We start from the raw sequence: 21,229 nt of genomic DNA on the forward strand, positions 1-21,229 counted from the left end.
ATCTTTTCCTTTTAACACCATCTGTTTTACAGAATAACCTTTCGCTTAGATAAGCTCACCACGCTAGACTCATGATTAATTCTGCACCTCATTGTTTTTCATTTTACCCAGTACATTAACATGAAATAAATATTTATCACAATCCTAATATTTAAATAACGCTGGCTTTGTGCTCCGCGCACTTTTCCATTAATATTTTCGGGTATATTTTTTCATCAGACCATCACTGGGGAAGTTCTCTCATTGTGCTACCACATTTCAATTATTAAAGTTTTCAAGATTTTTTCTTTTGTGGCCAAAGACGACAACTCCTGAGGTACCAGAGGTTAAATTTTGTACAAAAGGCCTAAAATGTCAATCTGGGAAACCTTACAATGTAAAGGCAATGGGGTGAAATAAGGAAAGGACTTAATCACAGGAAACACAGAACATCAAGTTGACTGGCCCCGAGTCAAGGGCACTGAGTCATCCCTGAGGTGTCTCAGGGCTTTGGTGTCATCTTACAAAAGTCACTCAAAGAGATTGTGTTAAGACTGTCTGCATGGTAATTGCAAAAAGGGTTGACTCATGGAATTTGTGACTTTGACAGAGAGCTGCTTCCCTGGCCCTCATTATGAATGGACTTATTCATAGGCACCTTCCCATCACCTCTCTGTAGCTTCCTGGGCAACAGCAAATGCCAGGAACAGCATGCTTGCAGGTAAGCAACCTTTTGAAGGAGACAGGGAAGACAGCACACAGAGCACGATCAAGACCCTGGAGCCTGATCTAATGGCAAAATGCAGCATGATGCAAGGGCCTCAAAGCACCCTTTACCACGAGTTCAGCCCTCCCCATCCCCTAGTGTTTACTATAGGGCTTTGCAAAAAGGCCGACATACACTATTTCTTCCCACTGTGTTCAAAACAAAGTCATTTTATAAAAGTGGTTTTCCCATATATACTTTACTAGGCCCTGTGAGAGGACACAAAGGAACATATACTGCTCAGGACTCCTGCAGGGCATCTTCTTCATCCTTAGCTAACATGTCCTTATTCTTTGTAGGCTACAGGTTTCCTGAACAAGAGACAGATACTGTGTGTGTGTGTGTGTGTGTGTGTGTGTGTGTGTGTGTGTGTGTGTGTAAAACCAACAGTGACATCTCTGTGCAGGGGAATATGAATGGAGTTACTTTTGTGTAAACTAAAGGGTAAACACACATGAAGCTTGTTTCTGGACATACAAGAAATTGAGCAGCAGTTACCTTGGGGGAGAGGAACTGGGAGTGGGGAATGGGATTTCTTTTCATGTTTTTCTATGGCTTGATTTTTTCCTAATTTGGTCATTGGCAGTTTTTTTGTAGGTAAAATTATGGGCCCTTTTATTGGCTTTATTCCTTTTTAATATTTAAAGATAGTATATAAATACTAATTTGCAATGAGACAAAAGACAGATACAAGTATTGGCAAGGATGTAGAAAAATTGGAACCCTCATATATTACTGGTGAGAATAGAAAACGGCAGAGCCACTTTGGAAAACAGTTATGAAGTTCCTCAAAATGTTAAACATAGACTTGCCTTATGGCCCAGATCTATTTTTAGGTACATACCAAGGAGAAATAAAAACATATGTTCACACAAAAACTTATACATGAATGTTCATAGCAGCAGGATTCCCAACAACCTGTAGGTGGGAACAACCCAACTGTCCTTCATCTTGTAAATGGATAAACAAAATGGAAAAGTAGATATTCAACCATAAAAAGGAATTGCTGAGTTTTGCTGCAACATGGATATAGCTTGAAAACATGCTAAGTAAAAGAAGCTAATCACAAAAAGCTACATGTCAATTTCATTTATATGAAACATCCAGAACAGGCAAATTTATAGAGATGAATTAGTGGTTGCCGTGGGCTGGAGAAAGGAGGGACTAGTAAGTGACTTATAATGGGTACAGGGTGTCTTTTGGTGTGGTGATGGTTGCAGAACTCTATGAATATACTAAAGACCACTGAACTGTATACTTTCAATGGGTGAATTGTATGGAATGTGAATTATATCTCAAAGCCATTTCAAAAATTATGAGAAACAAAGGCTAAGTATAGCTGCAACTGGATTTGTGATTTTTTGTTATCACAAAGCTTTTCATTTCTATGAGCCAAGGGTCCCATCCTGGAGACACAGGAGCTAGGGTGCAAAGAGGTTACTGACAGAGATGGGTAACCTGCTGGCCCGAAGCGGCCTCTCTGGTCACATATTGCTACATTAGGGAACAAATACGAACTGCTTAAAATCCAGCCATTCTCTGGCAACTTTCTAGACTCCTTTAAATCGGGTTAAATTATGTCATGGTTTGCTATGATTCACTCAGCAAATGTTCTGAGCTCCTGCTCTGTGCCAGGCCCTTTGCCCTAAACAAGGACAGCAGCATTTTTAGGAGGAAAGTCTGACTTCATAAGGTCTGGGTAGCAGAGCCTTCCGTGAAGGTGACTGGCAACAAAACCAGCTTTCTCAACAATCCCACCTTGCCTGTCTCAGGACTGCGTCAGGGGCGTTCGCCTCCCCTCTGTGAGGGAAGGGTGGCCAGTGGAAACATCTTTTCTGCTTTAACATTTTTAAAAGCATATTTTAATTGACAAGTATTTGTATTGATCATGTCCATTTTTTGTTTTTGACAGTCTCACTCTGTCACCCAGGCTGGAGTGCAGTGGCATGATCTTGGCTCACTGCAACCTCTGCCCCTCGAGTTCAAGTGATTCTCCTGCCTCAGCCTCTCGAGTAGCTGGGATTACAGGCATGCACCACCACGACCAGCTAAAAGTTTATTTTAGTAGAGATGGAGTTTCATCATGTTGGCCAGGCTGGTCTCAAACTCCTGACGTCAAGTGATCCACCTGCCTCAGCCTCCCAAAGTGCTGGGGTTACAGGCGTGAGCCACTGCACCCTGCCAATGTTTTGAGATGTATATGTTGTGGAATAGCAAAGTTGAGCTAGCTAACACATACATTACCTCTTATTTTTTTGTAGTGATAACACAATGTACTCTTAGCAATTTTCAAGAATACATTGTTATTAACTACAGTCACCATGTTGTAAAATTCTTTAACTTATTCTTTGTAGCTGAAATTTTGTATCCTTCCATAAACATTTCCAAACTTTTCCCCCTTATTTTCTTTGAAAATAATCTTCTAGGTGTTTTTGACACACATAAGATAAATTTAATGTTCTGAGAGGACTGCTTATAGACTGACGAGGGGATATAACAGTTTGAATGCTTGTGCCTTCCAAAACTCCTGTTGAAATTTAATTGCCAGGCTGGGCCGGGCACCGTGGCTCACACCTGTGATCCTAGCACTTTGGGAGGCCGAGGCAGGTAGATCACCTGAGGTCAGGAGTTCCAGACCAGCCTGGCCAACATGATGAAATCCCACCTGTACTAAAAATACAAAAATTAGCTGAGTGTGGAGGTACACACTTGCAATCTCAGCTACTTGAGAGGCTGAGGGGGGAGGAGTGCTTGAACCTGAGAGGCGAAGTTTGCAGTAAGCTGAGATCATGCCACCACACTGCAGCCTGTGTGATAGAGCAAGGCTGTCTCAAAAAAAAAAAAAAAGAAAAGAAAAGAAAAGAAAAGAAAAGAAAAGAAAAGAAAAAACAAAAGAGCCATTGTAACAGTATTAAGAGGTAGGACCATTAAGAGGTCATTAGGCCATGAGAGCATCACCCTCATGGGTGGGGTTGGTACCATTATAAAAGGGCAACTTTGGCCACTTCTTACTGTCTCCACAGCAAGGCAGCCCTCACCAGATGCTGACATCTTGATTTAGGACTTCCCAGCCTCCACAACTGGGACTCTATAAATTCTGTCCATTATAAACAACCTAGTCTGAGGTATTCTAGCGTCACAAAACAAAGACCAGATAAATTAACCGATGAGTCACATAACAATTGGTAAACATGGAATAAATATAATTCAGCCCCTTATTCTAATATTTAGATTAAAAGACAATTTGGTGGGTATAACTTTTTTCCTTGAGACAGAGTCTTGCTCTGTCAGCAGGCTGGAGTGCGGTGGCACGATCTCGGCTCACTGCAACCTCCGCCTCCTGGGTTCAAGCGATTCCCCTGTCTCAGCTTCCCAAGTAGCAGGGACTACAGGTGCCTGCCACCATGCCTGGCTAATTTTTTTTGTATTTTAGTAGAGACGGGGTTTCACCATGTTGGCCAGGATGCTCTTGAGCTCCTGACCTCGTGATCCATCTGCTTCAGCCTCCCAAAGTGCTGGGATTACAGGCGTGAGCCACCGCATCCGGCCAGGTACAACTTATTTTATCCAGTATCATCGGAGCCTATTATTCCACCACCTTTAAAACAAAAACAGCCTAGCTTCATGGAAGTATCCTTCCCAACCACTGTGCTTGAAATGAGAAATTTCACTTGATTTGGCCATTTCTTGTCATGGCCAAGGTACTTGGAGGTATCGGGGAAGGTGGCTTCCCTGTGGCAATGTCTACCACAGTGTCTTTCACATTAGCAAGGGTTAAAAAGCAGTACTTCTTGGAAAATGTAGAAAGAGGCAATTAAGTGGCACAGCTATCCAATCTCTGCTCCCTCTGGCTTGCAAATGTTGCAGTAAGGCTTAATCAAACCTTTATTAAACAGTAGCTGACATTTAGCCCTTAGAGGGCAGAAACGTGCTGTGGTGTAAGACACAAAAGCATATTGTCCGTTCACAGCATGAAAACCGAGCAAGAAATCATGGGAGTAGAGTTTCCAAAGGACAGCTGCAAATCAAGACCCGTGGAAAAAAACTGAAGGGGATTAAGAAGGTTCTAAGAACCAAAAATTTAGAGCCAGACAGCTAGAAACAATTGATAGTTTTCTATTTCAGAGGTGAGAAAGTTGAGTTCACAGAGATTACATCTCTGTGTCTGTATCTGGCTCTTCTGATCTGAATATTCTGAGTGAAGATGGGAGTGGCAGGGAACGTGACATTGTTAGAATAGGCTTCTTTCCAAACGGCTGCTATAACATCAGCTTCAACTTCTGGTTTCCTACCATTATTCTTGTTACCAGACCATGTAAACAAGTTCCATGTTGTTGGTTGTTGGACCAGAGTACTGACTTCATTTCCTAATATAAAAGGGAACTTTGTCCAAAATAAGGATCCAATAAAATGTTTCAATACATGGAGGGTAAAGTCAAGATGCTGTTTCCAGTCACCTGCCAGCTTCCTTAGGTTCTCAGGTTAGACTTCCAAGAAGCCAAGATAAATATTTCCCTGGAAAGTGACAAAAAGAATCTTAATGCTTCAAGAATTCAACTCCTAAGTTGTTGGTGACCAGCAGACTTCCAACTTCTCTCGATCTTGTTTATATACTATAGAATTTAATTGGCTTTAACACTATTGTATATAGCACATTTTGAGATGTGTATATATTGTAGGATGGCTGAATCATACTAACATGAATTACCTCACTTATTTCATAAGAACCCAATCTGTAGTCACCATGGTGTACAAAAGATCCCCTGAACTTATTCCTGAGTTTGCAGCCTTTGAGCAACATCTTTCCATCTTACCCTCTGCAAACCACAAGTAACCAACCATTCTACTCTCTGCTTCTGTAAATTCAAGATTACATGTTTAAGTGAGATCATGTACTTTTCTATACCTGGTTTACTTTAACATTTTCCTCTAAGTTCATGTCACAAATGACAAGATTTCCTTTAAGACTGAATAGTAGTTCATTGTATACATATACCACTTTCATCCATCTATTGATGGAAACTTTGATTTAGTATCTCAGCTATTGTCAATAGTGCTAATAATGACTATGGGAGTGCAGATATCTCGTCAACCTACCAATTTCACTTCCTTTGGATACATACACACTAGTGGAATTGCTGGCTCATGAGGGTAGTTCCATTTTTTGGAAGAACCTCCATAACATTTTCTGTGATGGCTATACTAATTTACATTCCCATCTACAGGGTTCAAGGGTTCCCTTTTCTCTATATCCTCACCAATACTTCTTTCCTTTTTGATAATAGCCATTCTGATGGGCAGGAGGTGAGCTCATTGGTTTTAATTTGCATTTCCCTAATAAATGAGAATGTTTAGCATCACTAGTCTGTTGGCCATTTGTATATCCTTTGAGATGTCTACTCATGTCCTTTGCCCATTTTTATTTGGGTTCCTTATTGAGTTACATTTTTGACATTAATCCCTTATTAGATATATGGCTTGCAGATGTTTCTCATTCCACAGCCTGTCTCTTCATTGACTTGGAAAGTCCCACCTTCTTGTGAGTCATACATGAACAGGAACACCCTGGCTAACACAGGGGAGGAGGGAATCTGACCTAATAGGATCTGTGGTTATAGACTCACAAGTGTCAAACTAGAGAGGTAAGAGGAGACAGACATATGGCCCCCTTTCTGAGTTTCACAGACAAGCATGATGAGGAGCTGACATTAGGCTAATGGAAGAATTTGCTTCCAAAAATAGGTGCCTACCCTCAAGAAATTTAGGGTAGCTAGAACTGTTACACAGCTAGTATGTAGGCAAGACATGGCAGGGGAAGCTGAGGCTGACAGCTGTGCGGTGGAAAGCTACCCCGCCATATTAAAATAGGAGGCTATGTTGCCATATCACTTACATGTAGAACACTTTTCTGGAAGATCAGTTAGCAAGAGGCACGTAAGGAATAAAGTGATTTTTCTCTAGGAAAAAAGATACAGGGATGAATTACATTATCCTGGATTGATCAGAACGATTTAGTCAGGAGGGAAAGAACTATCGGTTTAACTAGAAATGAGAAACTAAAGTTAAACCCATTTGGAGGATAGTGAATAAGTTTGGGGTAACAGTCTTTCGTGAGTTACTTGATAGAGGCTATTTAAAATTAGACAGATGCCTCCAAAAAGAGGTTTAATGGGGCCTCTGAGGGGAATAATCAAGTTTCTGGTTTAGCTATGAGACTATATTAAACTATAAGTTAATGGTTCTAACTGACTTTTCTCGAGTAGAAACTCAACTTCAAGCTAGATTTTGGCCAGAGACTATTCAGAGATGTTTTTGTCTTTCCTTGCAATATTTTCTCTGATCAGACTAACTTCTAATAGATTGTTTGAAAACCAGGAAAACTAAATCTGCAGAAATAGGTTCTGTAGAATTACTCTTATTCTGAAAAGAAGTTTCATGGTAAAATATGGGAAATAGGTTTTGCTCCCTTTGAAGGCATACCATGTTAATATAAACAGTCCCAGAAACCCTGCTAGAGAGAATCTGGCAAGTCCTAGGTAGAGGCTTAAGTATCAGGGTTTTCTTTGGTTAACTGCAGTAGCCGTTGGTTAGTACAGGTATTACTACCCTCCTCTTAGAGGGGCGAGTGGCCTTTATGCCAGGTTCTGCTAAAGCTTTCCTCTTTTGGAAACTCCGATTCCTGACTTGTCAAGGTCAGTTGCTTGAGAGGACCCTATATACTCGCTTTGTTTTAGAGGGATAGGCTAAAAACTTATGCCCGTATCTATTTCCTCATAGAAAAAGATGAGACTTAGCAATTCCCTTCTCCCATTTACCCAACTTTGTTTCCTTGAATCATCTGACATTTGTCAGAGTTGCTGAGGAAGCCTTCCTGTTCATTGCTTTATTCCCAATGCCTACTATGCTGCTTATATAGCCAATATACATTTTAATGGAGTAGATTTGAGTCATACAGCAACTAGCTAGAATAGCTCCCTGCCAGCAGCAGCTGTTGAGCACTTGAAGTTTGGTTAGTAGAATTTTAGTTTAAAACAGGTACTATTCAGCTATTGGAAAACAGTTGGGTATAAGTTTTCCCAACAATCTAATATCTAGAAGTACATCGTATTTCCAATTAATGTTTAACATTCAAAATTTGTTATAAGTATATTCAAGAGATTGAATAGGAAAGCAAAACCTTGAATATGATATTCAGTAGTAGGTTAAGTTTCATCTGATTGCCAAGTAAGTTACATGTATACTTGAGTTGCTTAACCTAGACACCAAAACACTACCCCACTGCAGTCAGAGACTATTCTTCTCTAAATGTCTGACTTCATTACAGGTCAACAGACAGACCTTTGCATGTAGCATAGCCATTATCTCCCCAAGCCATTATCTTTTCATAAGCCTGAGACAACCCTTTGTCAAGCTGCACCTGTGCCTACCGCTGGCAACTAGTCTTTCTGAGGAACTGAGTTTCAGTACCATGGGGAGTTAAGGGTGCAAGTTAGTGTTAAAACTTGAACTGGAATCTATCTTTTGTTGCTCAAGTGACCCTGGGCAAGTTATTTGATTTGTATCTTTCCCAGATTCTAGACGCTGGGGATGAATGAATACTATGTGATATTTTCATGAGGCTCAAGTATGTTAACATCAAGCTTCTAGGATAGTTTGTTGCGTGAAACACACGTATCCCTGTAAGGTCAGGGTTTACATCCTGCTTAGCAATTTGAAGTAGGGTTGGCTTGACTACAAAGCAGCTGTTCAGGAGTGTAACACCTTTACCTTGCTGAAAGGTCAATTTAGCAGTTATTCCCTGAAAAATAAGTAGGTGAAGTTGATAGAACCAGGATTAGTTTCAGAATTTCAGTGAGAATAGGAAGTACCCCAGAGTATGGCTGAGCAGCAGCATCAGTTATAAGAAAGTTCCTTAAACAGGATGTTTGCCTTGAGAAGTCAGTGATGGTATCCCCACCCACCCCCTTTAAAAAAAAAAAAGTCTTAGTTCTTAAGACTAGGAAACTACTTGTCAGTTCTGGCTCAAAACTAAGTCTCTGATGATCAAGCCACCTCCAGTTGGAGGATCTATGATCAGATACCTTTAGTCACTGTTCTAGACATTGGTTTAAGTCTGGTGCTCAGACCAGGGAAGATCAGCATCATCTAGGAAATGGCTGGAAATGTGAGTTTAAACCTTTGTCCACACCTACTGAATCAAACTCTGAGAATGGGACCAGGCCTACTGAATTCAAACCGAGAATGGGAACAGTCATCTGTTTCTACCAGCCCTCCCATGATCCTGAGGCACACTCAAGTTTGAGAACCAGTGATCTAGATTCATAATTAGTTCTACCCTAGTTTCCTTGATCTTATGGAAAAATTTTATTCCACGTTCTCTGACCTAAGACCTCTACTAAGTCTGAAATTTTTGTATCAGTTTCTATTCTATTCTCAGTTGAGTTATACTACCAAGCTTAAGAGATAAAGTGATGTGAACAGATGAACTAGTCTGAAATTAACCTTTTACCTTTCAAATGAGAAGCTCAGCACAGGCTGGGAATACACTCTGGTTTTATTGACACATTTGGTCTGGGCAACTCTTCTGTTTCTTGACAGCCAAGTAGGATACTAACAAGGCTCCAAGGATTAAGGTCCCAGAAAGGCCTGCCACCCACAGAACTTTCGAGTCTACAGGAACACCTGGAGGATGGATGGAAAGGTAGGTTAATGTATGCTAAAACCAAGTGATTCTGTGTCCTGACAAAGACTAGCAGTCTTCTGCTATAGGAAGGTCAATTTCTTTTGACTAGAACAAGAGGGATAGAAAGGAGGAAGTTGCTTTGATTAGTAATTTAGTTCACTAGTTTGATCTCCTCCCTCTTGGATACTTACGGAGCTTTTCTGGAGGGTCCTTAGTGGCTTGGAGTAGAATCATGGGGCCTTTGCTAGAAACACTAGCAGTAGTGTTCTGAGAACTGTTGTCAAAATTTCTTCTTCCTGTTAGAGAAATGAGACCTAGTAATTCATTAGTTTTTGCACACATAGGGCAGGGATAGAAAATGTTATGGTGCAAGGCCAAGTGTCTCTATAAAGCTTGGTTCTATGCCTTACAAAAACCTCATTAAGTATATTAATATGTACTTGAACAAGTGAGATTTTATATCTGATGCCATTACCTTAGTTTCACCAGGACTTTCGTATAAAGATGTTAGAAACTATCCCTGAACTGCCATCCTTTTCTAAATAGTACTTTGACAGTATCATGTTTATAATTCAGAGATCTTTCCCTGAAATTCAAAGGTAACTATTAGAACAGAACTTGGAGGCTGAGATGCAGAGAAAACAATTTAATGAGTTTAGATCTGGTTTTCAAGTGAAGTAAAACAAATTTCATTCACTTGAAATATACAGTTTTACGTTTTCTGTATCCTATGTTTTATTAAGAAAGATGGCAAGATGGCAAATGGAAGAGTGGGAAACAAAGGACACACCTGCAGGTGGACAGTGAGGAAAAAAAGCTTTCTGGAGTTTGAGACCAGCCCAGGCAACATAAAGATCCATCTCTATAAAAAAATAAGACAAAGGCCGGGCGTGGTGGCTCATGCCTGTAATCCCAACACTTTGGGGGGCCAAGGCAGGTGGATCACCTAAGGTCAGGAGTTCAAGACCAGCCTGGCCAACGTGGTGAATCCCTGTCTCTACCAAAAATACAAAATGAGCTGGACTTTGTGGCACATGCCTGTAATCCCAGCTACTCAGGAGGCTGAGGTGGGAGAGAGGGGGAGGGGGAGGGCGGGGGAGGGCGGGGGAGGGCCGGGGGAGGGCGGGGGAGGGCGGGGGAGGGCGGGGGAGGGCGGGGGAGGGCGGGGGAGGGCGGGGGAGGGAGAGAGAGGGAGAGAGAGGGAGAGAGAGGGAGAGAGAGGAAGAGAGAGGAAGAGAGAGGAAGAGAGAGGAAGAGAGGGAGAAAGGCTGGGCATAGTAGAATACGCCTGTAGTTTTAGTTGGGAGGCTGAACTGGGCGTATCACCTGAGCTCAGGAGGTCGAGGCTACCATGAACTGTAATCATGCCATTGTACTCCAACCTGCATGACAGAGCAAGAACTGGTCACACACACAAACACACACACACACAAACACACACACACACACACACACACACACACACAAACACACACACACACAAACACACACAAACACACACAAACACACACAAACACACACAAACACACACAAACACACACAAACAGTGTAGAACTGTTTTAATTCTACTTCTATTTGCCAGTTGTAGGACCTCAATCTAAGATGGTTCATTCTTTAGAAGTAGTGATAATATGCATTTTTGGAGATGTTACTTAATGTTGTACTTTGCATAATAAAGCACCATTTAGTTACTATGAGTTTTGCTAGAAGGCACTTAAAGCTTTAGAGGTCATGAATCCAAACTCAGAGGCTAGGCAAGTACAGGTAGAACCCATGTAGACATACAGACACATTGACTACTTAGAAGCATTGGACCCAACGAACTAGAGACCACATTCTAGGTCCAGTCATTCTACTTATAGATCTTTAGGCTGCATTGCCAGACCTGTCAAGCAGGTACAGACATGTTTCTCAACTATTCAGGTGTATCTTGTTAAAATGAGACATAAGATAGGCCATAAACTGCCTTGGTTGGTGGATGAATTAAAGTTTATATGGAAAAAGCTAAGGTTGAGGGTTACCCGAACATTTATAGCTTGTTTTAGGAGACATGGGATTCTGGGAAGCTAGTCATCTTTGTTCTATGGCACCGCAAGTACTTAGAGAAGCCTTAGTAAGATGAATCTTCAGTTTGAGTTGTTTGGCCAGAGACTAGGAAAGGTTAGACATGGGACTCAAGATTCATTCAAATCTGTCCTCTAACAGCTTGGTTACTCACGACTGAGATCAGGACAGGTCACCACACAGGATGGTGTCTCAGCAGGCTGGCAGACTGACACGCTGCAGTGCAGATGCACCTGGGAGCCAACAGAATTCAGGTCATTTGTAGTATCACCATGCCATGTATCTCTAAACCTGCTTTGCCTCCCCAGGAAGAGGTTCAGGAAGTTATCAGAAAATTGATATGGTCCAAGTTGATATCACAATGGCACTAAGGAACTGGAGTCCAGTTGACAGATGTCACTCATGTAATTAGTAACAAGGGTTGCTCTGAGTCAGTACCAATAGCCAGCATTAAAGGGCTTCCTTGGCTGCAGAGTAGTAGGACATGGAAACAGTTGTAAGTTGGGGAGGTTCAGAGCCCTGGTGAGTGTCATGGAAGGGAACATCCTACCGGTCCCCTGAGGGCCTGTTTCTCCACTGTAGGGTTCACAAAGCTGAAGGTGAAGATGCTGAAGCGCTGGTGGTGAGAGGGAAATGGAAGATCCAAGGCTTTCTGGACAGGGATCAGCTGGGTCTGATAGTTGTCTCCAATGTAGGGGCAGCTAGACCAAGAGACCCAGCAGTCAGGATGGGCTTCTTTGAGAATTTCAGCACAGGTGTATGAAAGAACCACTTACCCCTTTACCAGGATGGGCCACTGTGGCTGACTCAGGGGGTCAGTGCTGGGTGTTGCCCAACACTGTTGTAGGAGCAGCCCCAGGTAGGGGTCTGTTCTGTGAAGGATGGAGACCTCCACGTAAATGGGATCCCGAAGCAACTTCACCACTGGGTAGTCACCAACACCGTAGTAAGAGCCATAGTTTTTATCTGCAAGAGGCAGAAATAAGGATTTGAAGTAGTAATCTCTCAGTGACTTGAGGGACTGTCACCCCTTTAAATAGCCCCAAGCCCCTTAAGTGTCTTGTTACTAACTTAGGGTCTTCATGCCCCAGAAGACTGGATTTAGACTATAGGCCAGATACTCCAGCCAAGGGGGTCATACCTTTGGCAATCTGAAGTTCCAGAGTGAGGGGTCCAGGCTGGGTCTCAGGAAAGGGTGGTGGGAGAGTGAAAACCTGGACATTGATTGGGAGAGAGTTGCTACTTACTGAGTAGCTGCAGCTGACATGGAGCCTGCAGAGAAACAAGATTTTAGCTAGTTGGTTGTGGGAAGTGGGTGTCAGTTACACATCCTTTCTTTTTAACTCAAGGAAAGCATTAAGTGCTAGACAAGTTTATAAGTGTGATGGATGTGGTTCCTGCCCTGCTGGGAGCTGTATTTTAGTTGGGGAGACCAATATACAAGTAGGACCAATGTTTGAGTTGGAGATAAGCACACAGAAATAAAGATGCATCATGAGAAACAGATGCTTGCCATAGAGAAGATCAGGGAAGACCTTAGAGGTACCCTTGATATGAAGGTGAAAGAAAAACTTGAGGTACAGGGAAAGCGTCACCCAATATAGAGCAAAGCCTGGAGGCAAGGAAGTGCTTGAGGCCCTTTGAGAATTCCATAGAAGAACCAGGCTGCAATCGGGGAATAGTGAGTAAGGGACTGAGAATGTTAGAAGTGAACAGGCTGGAGATGAAGTAGGAGCTGTTTTATGCAGGGTCCTGATGTTCATCTTAAAGATTTTTTTTTTTTGTCCATGGCTTTAAGGTGTGTGATTTGACTGACTTAAGGTTTTAAAGGAATTCTTTTGGCTACAGCATGGACAGTGGAGAAGGCCAGATGTAGAATGGAGAAATGTAGGCTGAAATGTAGAATGGAGAAGGCCAAAATGAGAAAAAAATCTAGTTAAGTGAAATAGCAGAACTCCAGGTGAGCTTGAGGCTTAGGTCGGGTTGGAGACAGCAACACAGATGGACCTAATCAAGTAATGGGCAGTGCAATTGGTGAACCAAGGTAGCAGACAGGTTTTCTCCTATTGCTGAGGAATGCTCATTTGTGGATTCAGGGCTTACCTGAGAATGCCCACCTTATGGCAGATGGGAAGTCATTCTGGCCAAGCCCTTACCTGAAGATGCTGTCACGAGTGACAGAGCCACGGCTCCCATTTTTCACATCCCTAGTTGCCACCAGTTCATTTTCATATACTGCTCGGTCTCCAGTGATCTACAGGAATAGATGGAGAAGTCTTGATCATTTCTGTTAGTGTTATGCTGCTTGACTTGCATCTGGTCTAAGCCCTCAGCAATGCTACCCTGTTGTATGGTATATTTCCTATTACTTCAGCAGAGGTAAGAACACATAGCAGTGACATCCTGGCAAGTTATCACTTCGCCTTATCTCAGGACAAAGGAATAAGAAGGAATTTGAGCACCTAGGAGAGGCAGCTGAAGCACTACCAATTCCAGTCAGCATCCCTGCTGGTTTCTTCTCTATAGCACGGTAAATGACAGCCCCTTAGCTAGATCACAGCTGTGATGGTCTTAGCTGAACACCCAGAAGAGATTAACTTTTTCAGTGATGAGGCATTCTCCTGCCCTAGGGACTCTCCCAAACTCCAAGTAGTAGTCACAAGTATCGTTCACGGCCAACATATTTCAGCTCTCCCCCACTAGTCACTACAACCTTCCCACCCAACTTCCAGAGCCAGGAACAAAGCCCAACTGCTCACCTGTCTTGTGGTGCCACAGGAAGTAAATGGAAACTGGAACAGAACAAAAGCTTGTGTTGCCATCACAGGGTTACACGCACTGTCATTCCTAAGGGCCAAGCGCACAGAATCCAAGAGCAGTGGTGGCGAGGTCACGTTCCGAGACACAGCAATAGAGAAATGGCCCTCTCGGGTACAATGCAAGGTCACTGAAACAGAGCAGCTGTGCTGAAGGCAGGTCATCTCTCCCATTGTGGGGAGAACCAGATGAAAGTCTAACCACTTAGTTACTTTTAATCCCACTGAGAAGCTGGTGACAACTTCCCAGTGACAACCTCAGTGCAAGATCAACCAACCACAGTTTAACCCAGGCTCTAAATGATCTGGGGTTGAGTCTTGCCTCCCTGACTTATTGTGTGACCTCAGGCAAGTATTGCACCTCCTTGCTTCAGTTTCATGTGTTAAGAGGGGGATAGTAGTTCCTACCTCATTTTGCTTGTCAGTTAAGATTAAGATCTTGGAATAGCGTGTGCGATTATTAGGTTGGTAGAGAAGTAATTGCAGCCTTTGCCACAATGGCAAAAGCCGGGATTCCTCCTGTACCAACCTATACATACTCTGAGGTCAAGTTTATGTTAGAAAACCTCAGAGCAGGATTAGAGACAAGCAGAAAGCAACAGCCTTGAAGTGACTCTCCCTAAACAATCCAAGACCATCAGCCAAAGTCGCTATAAGTTTCTGTCAGTTAGAAGTTATCTGGCACTAGCAATTATCTGGCACATAGCCTTCAAGTCTGAGCGTTATTGACTTTATATCTGGATTCTGGGAGAATGGACAGTGGGAGTTGTAGAAGTCTGTTACATTGGGATCAAGTGTTCTTGGATGCATGGCTACATGGCAGCCTGCTATCACTTGATGTTTGCCTTCTGAGCAAACCCCTCTCTGGGTTTCATTGTAATTGCCACACTTCCTCAGCTGGTTTCAGAGGTGTGCTCACTTACTCACCAGTGTTTCCATAGTAGCAGGAATTCACCTCTTCAGAGCTATAACAACAGCCTAGCCCTTCACAGTCTCCTCGAGAGATGGGTGAAGGTGCACATGGCAGTCTGTCCCGTGCTGGGATGGAGTCACACCAGTCAGTATCTGGAGCATCTCGGGCTAGGTTTTGAAAAAGAGTAAGTCAGGTTAGATAATGGAAAAGTTAGTCTTGAATACCATTTTGATACAAGTCATTGACTTTGGATTCCTGTAGATATGTAGATGATTGAAATAGGTGTCTACTCCATATTGTAGATAGTATTGAGAGGTTACATGTTGTAGATTAAGTCTTGGGAGGTTGTCAACATTAAGTCACCTTGTAAGAGTGCCCTGCTATTAGTTTTTTAAAAACAAGAATGTCAACAAAATTGGTAGAAGCAGTTGGGGGGTTTCTTACTCCTTCCAGTAACAATCCTTCCTTCTGTTCTTTAGAGGCGTTTCTCAAGCCTTAGTTTGGATATGAGTTATCTGAAGATTGTTTTTGAGTTCAGGTCTGGTTCAGAACTGGGGTGGGGCCTATGATTCCTCATTTTATTAGTGCTGCCCATCCTGGCTATGTATTGGGAAGGAAGGCAGGTGAGAAGAGTGAATTTATAGTTTGAGTCTGTTCTGACTTTGAGGACGGGCTCTCAGTCAGGCGAGACTTTCTAAAGTTGAGTAGGCATCATACTTCCTGCTGTTTCCTTAGGGAAATGCTCAGATACCCCTCCAGCTTGTGGGATGGAAGACCTGGGTCCTAGTCTCAGTGCACATCTAGCTCTGTGGAGGTATTTTTCCAAGTTCCCTTGCTAGCTTCAGTTTTATTTCCTATCATTCTCCCCATGGGTGAAAAGCTCCTGGTTCTGGGAGAGTTCTTTGAATCCCAGCTCAGTCATTCACCAGTGATAGGCCCTTGGGAAAACTTCCTGGCAAGAGATAGGTTGTATTTTTTTTTTTTTTTTTTTTGAGACAGGGTTTCGCTCTTGTTGCCCAGGCTGTAGTGCAAGGGCACGATCTCAGCTCACCACAACCTCAGCCTCCCAGGTTCAAGCGATTCTCCTGCCTCAGCCTCCCGAGTAGCTGGGATTACAGGCATGTACCACCACACCCGGCTGATTGTGTGTTTTTAGTAGAGATGGGGTTTCTCCATGTTGGTCAGGCTGGACTCCAACTCCCGACCTGATCCACCTGCCTCAGCCTCCCAAAGTGCTGTGATTACAGGTGTGAGCCACTGTGCCTGGCCAGCAGTAGTATTTGCAGCACTATGTTAGGGTTAGGGAAGGTAACACCTGAAGTGCTTACCCACAGTGCCTTGGCATTGAGGAGTCTCAATTGGTAGTTATCCTAAGGATTGCCCATGGAGGTGAGAGTTGGGACATGATCCTTCCTTCATTAGTGTCAGGTGTCACTGCACAGAGCAGGTCAGAGAGGACCAAGAGTACTTTCACACCCCACCCCCACCACCCCCACAAGACCCTGAGAGCTTCCAGCCTTTACCTAGAAGATCCATAGGACACTTGAGCAGCTTCCTCTCTGTAACCACCTTGTGTTCAGCCGCGCCTGCTCCTTCAACTCCAACTGGCATGATGTAGTGGGAGTCCTGGAGAGACAGGCCCTTGGGGGTCAGCCTGGATGGTAGCATGAGGCGCTTCACACAGTCTCCCTGGCCATTGGGTCATACTCACCCACTCAGTGACATAGCAGCTGCTATAGGTTGCCTCCAACACCACGGAGCTGCCTGGACCTTTTCTTATCCAGGTGCCACAGTCGGAGTCATTCTGCAGCTCGTGCAGCAGCCCTTGGTTGTCTGGAGGGGTGGGGAAGAGGTGAGAAAACACAGCGGTCAGTCTCCAGTGCCAGAAAGGATAGTCAGCCTTGCCATTAGACCCCAAGGAGCAACTGTCAATAAGAGGAACAAGAGGGAAATCAGATTCAGATCAGATGTAGTTATAACTTAGACTATTTCTTTTGCAGAAAGATGCAACAGGGCTCAGAAGGTGAAAGTATCAATACGGGAAGATAGGGAGACATCTTAGGTAGTAGAGGAGACATATCATTGCTTGGCTAAGCAAGGCAAGTCATCAAACTTACCCCAAGCTATTAGTACAGGAGGAGACGTTGCCTCCTGGTTGAGGTTTACAGCAAACTGGAAGCTCCACGGCCCACAGTGGAGCACACTGGAATAATCTGGTGCCTCAGGCTTATGCTGGCCACTCACAGCAAGAGATAATGAAACACACAGCAAAACGCACCGCAGCAGCCACATAATGCTACCAGGAGTTCCTGCCGGCTGCAGACTCTCCGCCTCCTCTCCCAAGAGCCGAGGGTCTGCCTGCCCAGATTCCTTTATATACAGAAGTCAGGCTTGTTTTCAGCTGCACATCTTTGTGACACTCAGGTGGGATGCCTTCAGAAAGGGGAATTCCTCTAGCCTCATTTGCTTTGGGGCACAGTCTGCAGCTGCCTCACATTAAATACCACAATCCAGGCAGACTTCAGAGCCCAAGAAAAATGTAGTAACTTTTAGCTAACAGAAAGGAAGGAAAGAAAGCTTCCTCAGGGTTGCTCAACATAGCATTTGTCCCACCAGTTTATTGAACTTATTGACTTCAGAAGACCTCCCTCTAGAATTTTGCACATTTGGGTGTGAAACTACCATCTATGAACTATGGGGTCTGGGTACGTTACAAACTCTCTGAATCTTGGTTTTCTCATCTGTAAAATGGGAATGCTATCTCCTGGCAGTGGTGTGCTTGAGGATTAAGCAAGAGATTCTATGTCAGGTGCCTGGCACAGTGCTTGGCCAAGCAGTGAGTGCTCAGTCAACATTGTCGGGTGAGAGTTGGGGCCCTTGAGAAGCCTTGTCACCTTCTCCATCCATTCTAGAAAAGTTTCTGTACGATTAGAGCCTGTCTTGAAATTCTAGAAAAAAATCTAAACTTATTTCCTGAGAAAGGTTGATTTTGAACCCTTTCCTGGTCCTTAGAGGGAATCCTACCACAGCAATCTTTCAACAAATTCCAAAGTGGTTCATTGCCATAACTGTCCTACAGTGTTTCCCCACAGGATCTGGGGGAAATGTGGATTAGGCCATGAATTCCTCAAACTGGTTCTGCCTCTTACAGCTATTTGACAATTTTATCTTTCGGCTGTGTTTCAGGCATATTTCATAAAGATGTCAGGGTTTCTTGCTTGCTTTCTACATTTTTGTTTTCCACATAAACTACAAGTTATATACTTTGGTCACTCTTTAAGCTAGAGTGTCAGACCAGATTGTAGAGAAATTCTAAGAGATTTGGGGATAAATGGATACATTCCCCACTGGAGAGGCAAGAGCATGGAAACTTGTCTTCTGCAGTCTGCCACCAATATTCCCAAATTGTACCCTGATTGTATTTAGACTGATATTTTTCGGTTGACTAAAAATTGTAGTCAAAGCACTGAGAATGTGTAACTAGGTATCTCTAGTTCTCTTCAACTCATCACAGAGGACAAATAAGTATGTGTCTTCCTGGGAAAATTGGTGGCCCTTTTAACCACATGATGAAAAATGACATTGAAGGAAAGCTGGACTCTGCCCTCAAAGACAGATGTGGCTTCCCTGACACCGTCTACCTGGATTAGGTGCTCACCACTGGGTTATTACATGCCATTTACTCACAGGATTTGCCAGGTTGGATTGTAATGACCTCTTTCTTATTCAGTTTGCCACTAGAAGCACGTGAGGCCAGGGACTTTTTTATTTGTCACTGCATCCTGCGTGCCTTGGATGTATGTACTCAGTGTTCTCTGAGTAAAGACTGAATCAATGAATATGCTTTCATTAGTGGCCATGTCCTAGGGCTAACCCCCTTGAAAATGTAGTTTCCAAACCTCACCGGTACAAATTCATTTCCTTTATGATGAGCTCAAACTCATAACCCTTAGGTATTTTTCCTTCAAGTAAATATCATGTGATTGCACATGTAAGAAAGAATCTGAGGATTTGACTCATGCAAGATGTCTCAGGAGTTAAAAGGCCAGTCTCCTGACTAGACTTACTAATATTGCTTTATGCTGAGACCAGCTCAGTCGGGGAGACCCTAACCCAGGGATGCTAGAGGAATAAAGACACACACACACACACAAATATAGAGGTGTAGAGTGGGAAATCAGGGGTCTCACAGCCTTCAGAGCTGAGAGCCTCGAACAGAGATTTACCCACATATTTACTGACAGCAAGCCAGTGATAAGCATTGTTTCTATAGATTATAGATTAACTAAAAGTCTTCCTTATGGGAAACAAAGGGATGGGCTGAAATAAAGGGATGAGCTCTGGCTAGTTATCTGCAGCAGGAGCATGTCCTTAAGGCACAGATCACTCATGCTATTTGTGGTTTAAGAACACTTTTAAGCGGTTTTCCATCCTGGGTGGGTCTGGGGTTCCTTGCCCTTATTCCGGTAGACCCATAACCTTGCAGCGTGGGCATCATGGCCATCACGACCATCACGAACATGTCACAGTGCTGCAGAGATTTTGTTTATGGCCAGTTTTGGGGCCAGCTTATGGCCAGATTTTGGGGGGCCTGTTCCCAACAGCTTTATAAAGTGGTGAAAAGTCAAGGAGCGTAACTTCCTTTGCTCATACTTGGAGGCAATATAGTATAGTATATCATGTGAGTTTTGACAATGGGTGGACTTGGGTACAAATTCTGACTGTTACTCTGCAACCTCTGTCAATGTATTAACCTCTTTCTCTCAGTTACAGTTTTTATATCTGTAAAATAGGGATAATAACATGGACAGTATTATTACAACAGACGGTTAGATGAAATAATGTATGTACAATGCTTGTTGCATAATTGCTACATTGTCACTAACATCAACAGGACCAGCCTGGGAGATAAAGGTGAGATGGGTGGCAAATGGAAAGCAAATGCCAAGCAGTGCACTCATTGGATCTGCAGGGAGTCTGAGGAACAGCCTATACTCATGAGGCTGCATTCCCAAATGAGGTCCTGTGTTTACATAATGAAGTTGAAAAATCACACAAGCCTGGAACTATGTGGAGCTATCTTGAAGTCCACCTAGGATCACACCCATCTCTCTGATGCTGCAGAGGGTCAAAGATGGATGCCAAGATAATGCAGGCAGGTCTGGGGTTAGGTAATGTTATGCTCATTCCTCTGCTGAATCTTCCAAGAACATCATCATTTAATTTCGGGATGAGAAAATGCACTGATAATGTGTGATCCACCTCGAGGAGCCCCAGGCTTAACAGAAAAAACATCCTATCCACTATTATCACAACATGAATGCTCTGTCCTTTGAATGTGAAAGGGCAAATGCTGTTCTTTGTCTTATGTCAGAATCACCCAGTCATTTAAAAATTGTTTCAGAGCCATTACGAACAGATTATGAGGCATCCTAATGTGTACAGACTTATCAAAAGCCCCATAGTCATGGTAGTATTCATGCAACCCACATTTTATAGGCGGGCTTAAGGATTCCCCTTGTGTTCCTTACCAAAGTACTTGGGAGTCCTGCACTGAAGCTAAGCTGCCCATTCCTCATTCACTGAAGCTGCCCATTCCTCATTCAGTGATCTGGCCACTCAGGTCATGAGGGCAACCTGTGTGATTGGGGAAAGGCAAACGGTGATTTCCAAAAACCTTCTTCAATCTGGTCATATTTACATTTGAGTGTTTCATTTTAAACTGCAGAATAGGGACATCACCCCACAAGGTTTGGATAGCATGGAGCTGTAGTACAATGCTTTCTGGCCATTGAGTACAGACTCCTCATCTGACATTAACAGTGATTGCCCCGCTGTGACTGGAGCAGGGTCCTCCTAACTGGAGAGTGAAGTACCACTCAAACAAGGCCCCAGGAAGCCCACTTCAAGTGTGGAGAAGCAATAATCAAAATTATCCCTCAAATATGGAGGGATGATTAGACCATTGTTGTGTTAATCAGTAATTAGGGAGCAAGGATGGTGCATCC

General features: G+C 43.3%; 1 protein-coding gene and 1 pseudogene across 2 annotated transcripts in view; one reads left to right on the forward strand and one right to left on the reverse strand.

Annotated features, from left to right (window-relative positions):
* Positions 1-21,229, forward strand: part of LOC100130331 (POTE ankyrin domain family, member F pseudogene) — a 66,147-nt pseudogene that overhangs the window by 10,948 nt on the left and 33,970 nt on the right. The window contains exon 4 of the transcript NR_027247.2: positions 9,344-9,446. The product of NR_027247.2 is annotated as a POTE ankyrin domain family, member F pseudogene (transcript). The remainder of the gene's footprint in view (positions 1-9,343; positions 9,447-21,229) is intronic.
* Positions 9,282-17,800, reverse strand: ZP4 (zona pellucida glycoprotein 4). The gene is made up of 12 exons (NM_021186.5): positions 17,339-17,800; positions 16,933-17,054; positions 16,745-16,847; positions 15,236-15,388; positions 14,252-14,439; positions 13,649-13,746; positions 12,634-12,764; positions 12,269-12,458; positions 12,043-12,193; positions 11,647-11,725; positions 9,620-9,724; positions 9,282-9,427 (listed from the first exon to the last, which is right to left on the reverse strand). The coding sequence occupies exons 1-12, from the start codon at positions 17,511-17,513 to the stop codon at positions 9,300-9,302; spliced, it is 1,623 nt and encodes a 540-aa protein (NP_067009.1). The 5' UTR covers positions 17,514-17,800; the 3' UTR covers positions 9,282-9,299.

The sequence above is a fragment of the Homo sapiens genome, chromosome 1 (assembly GCF_000001405.40).
Source record: "Homo sapiens chromosome 1, GRCh38.p14 Primary Assembly".
Classification (NCBI taxonomy): Eukaryota; Metazoa; Chordata; class Mammalia; order Primates; family Hominidae; genus Homo; species Homo sapiens.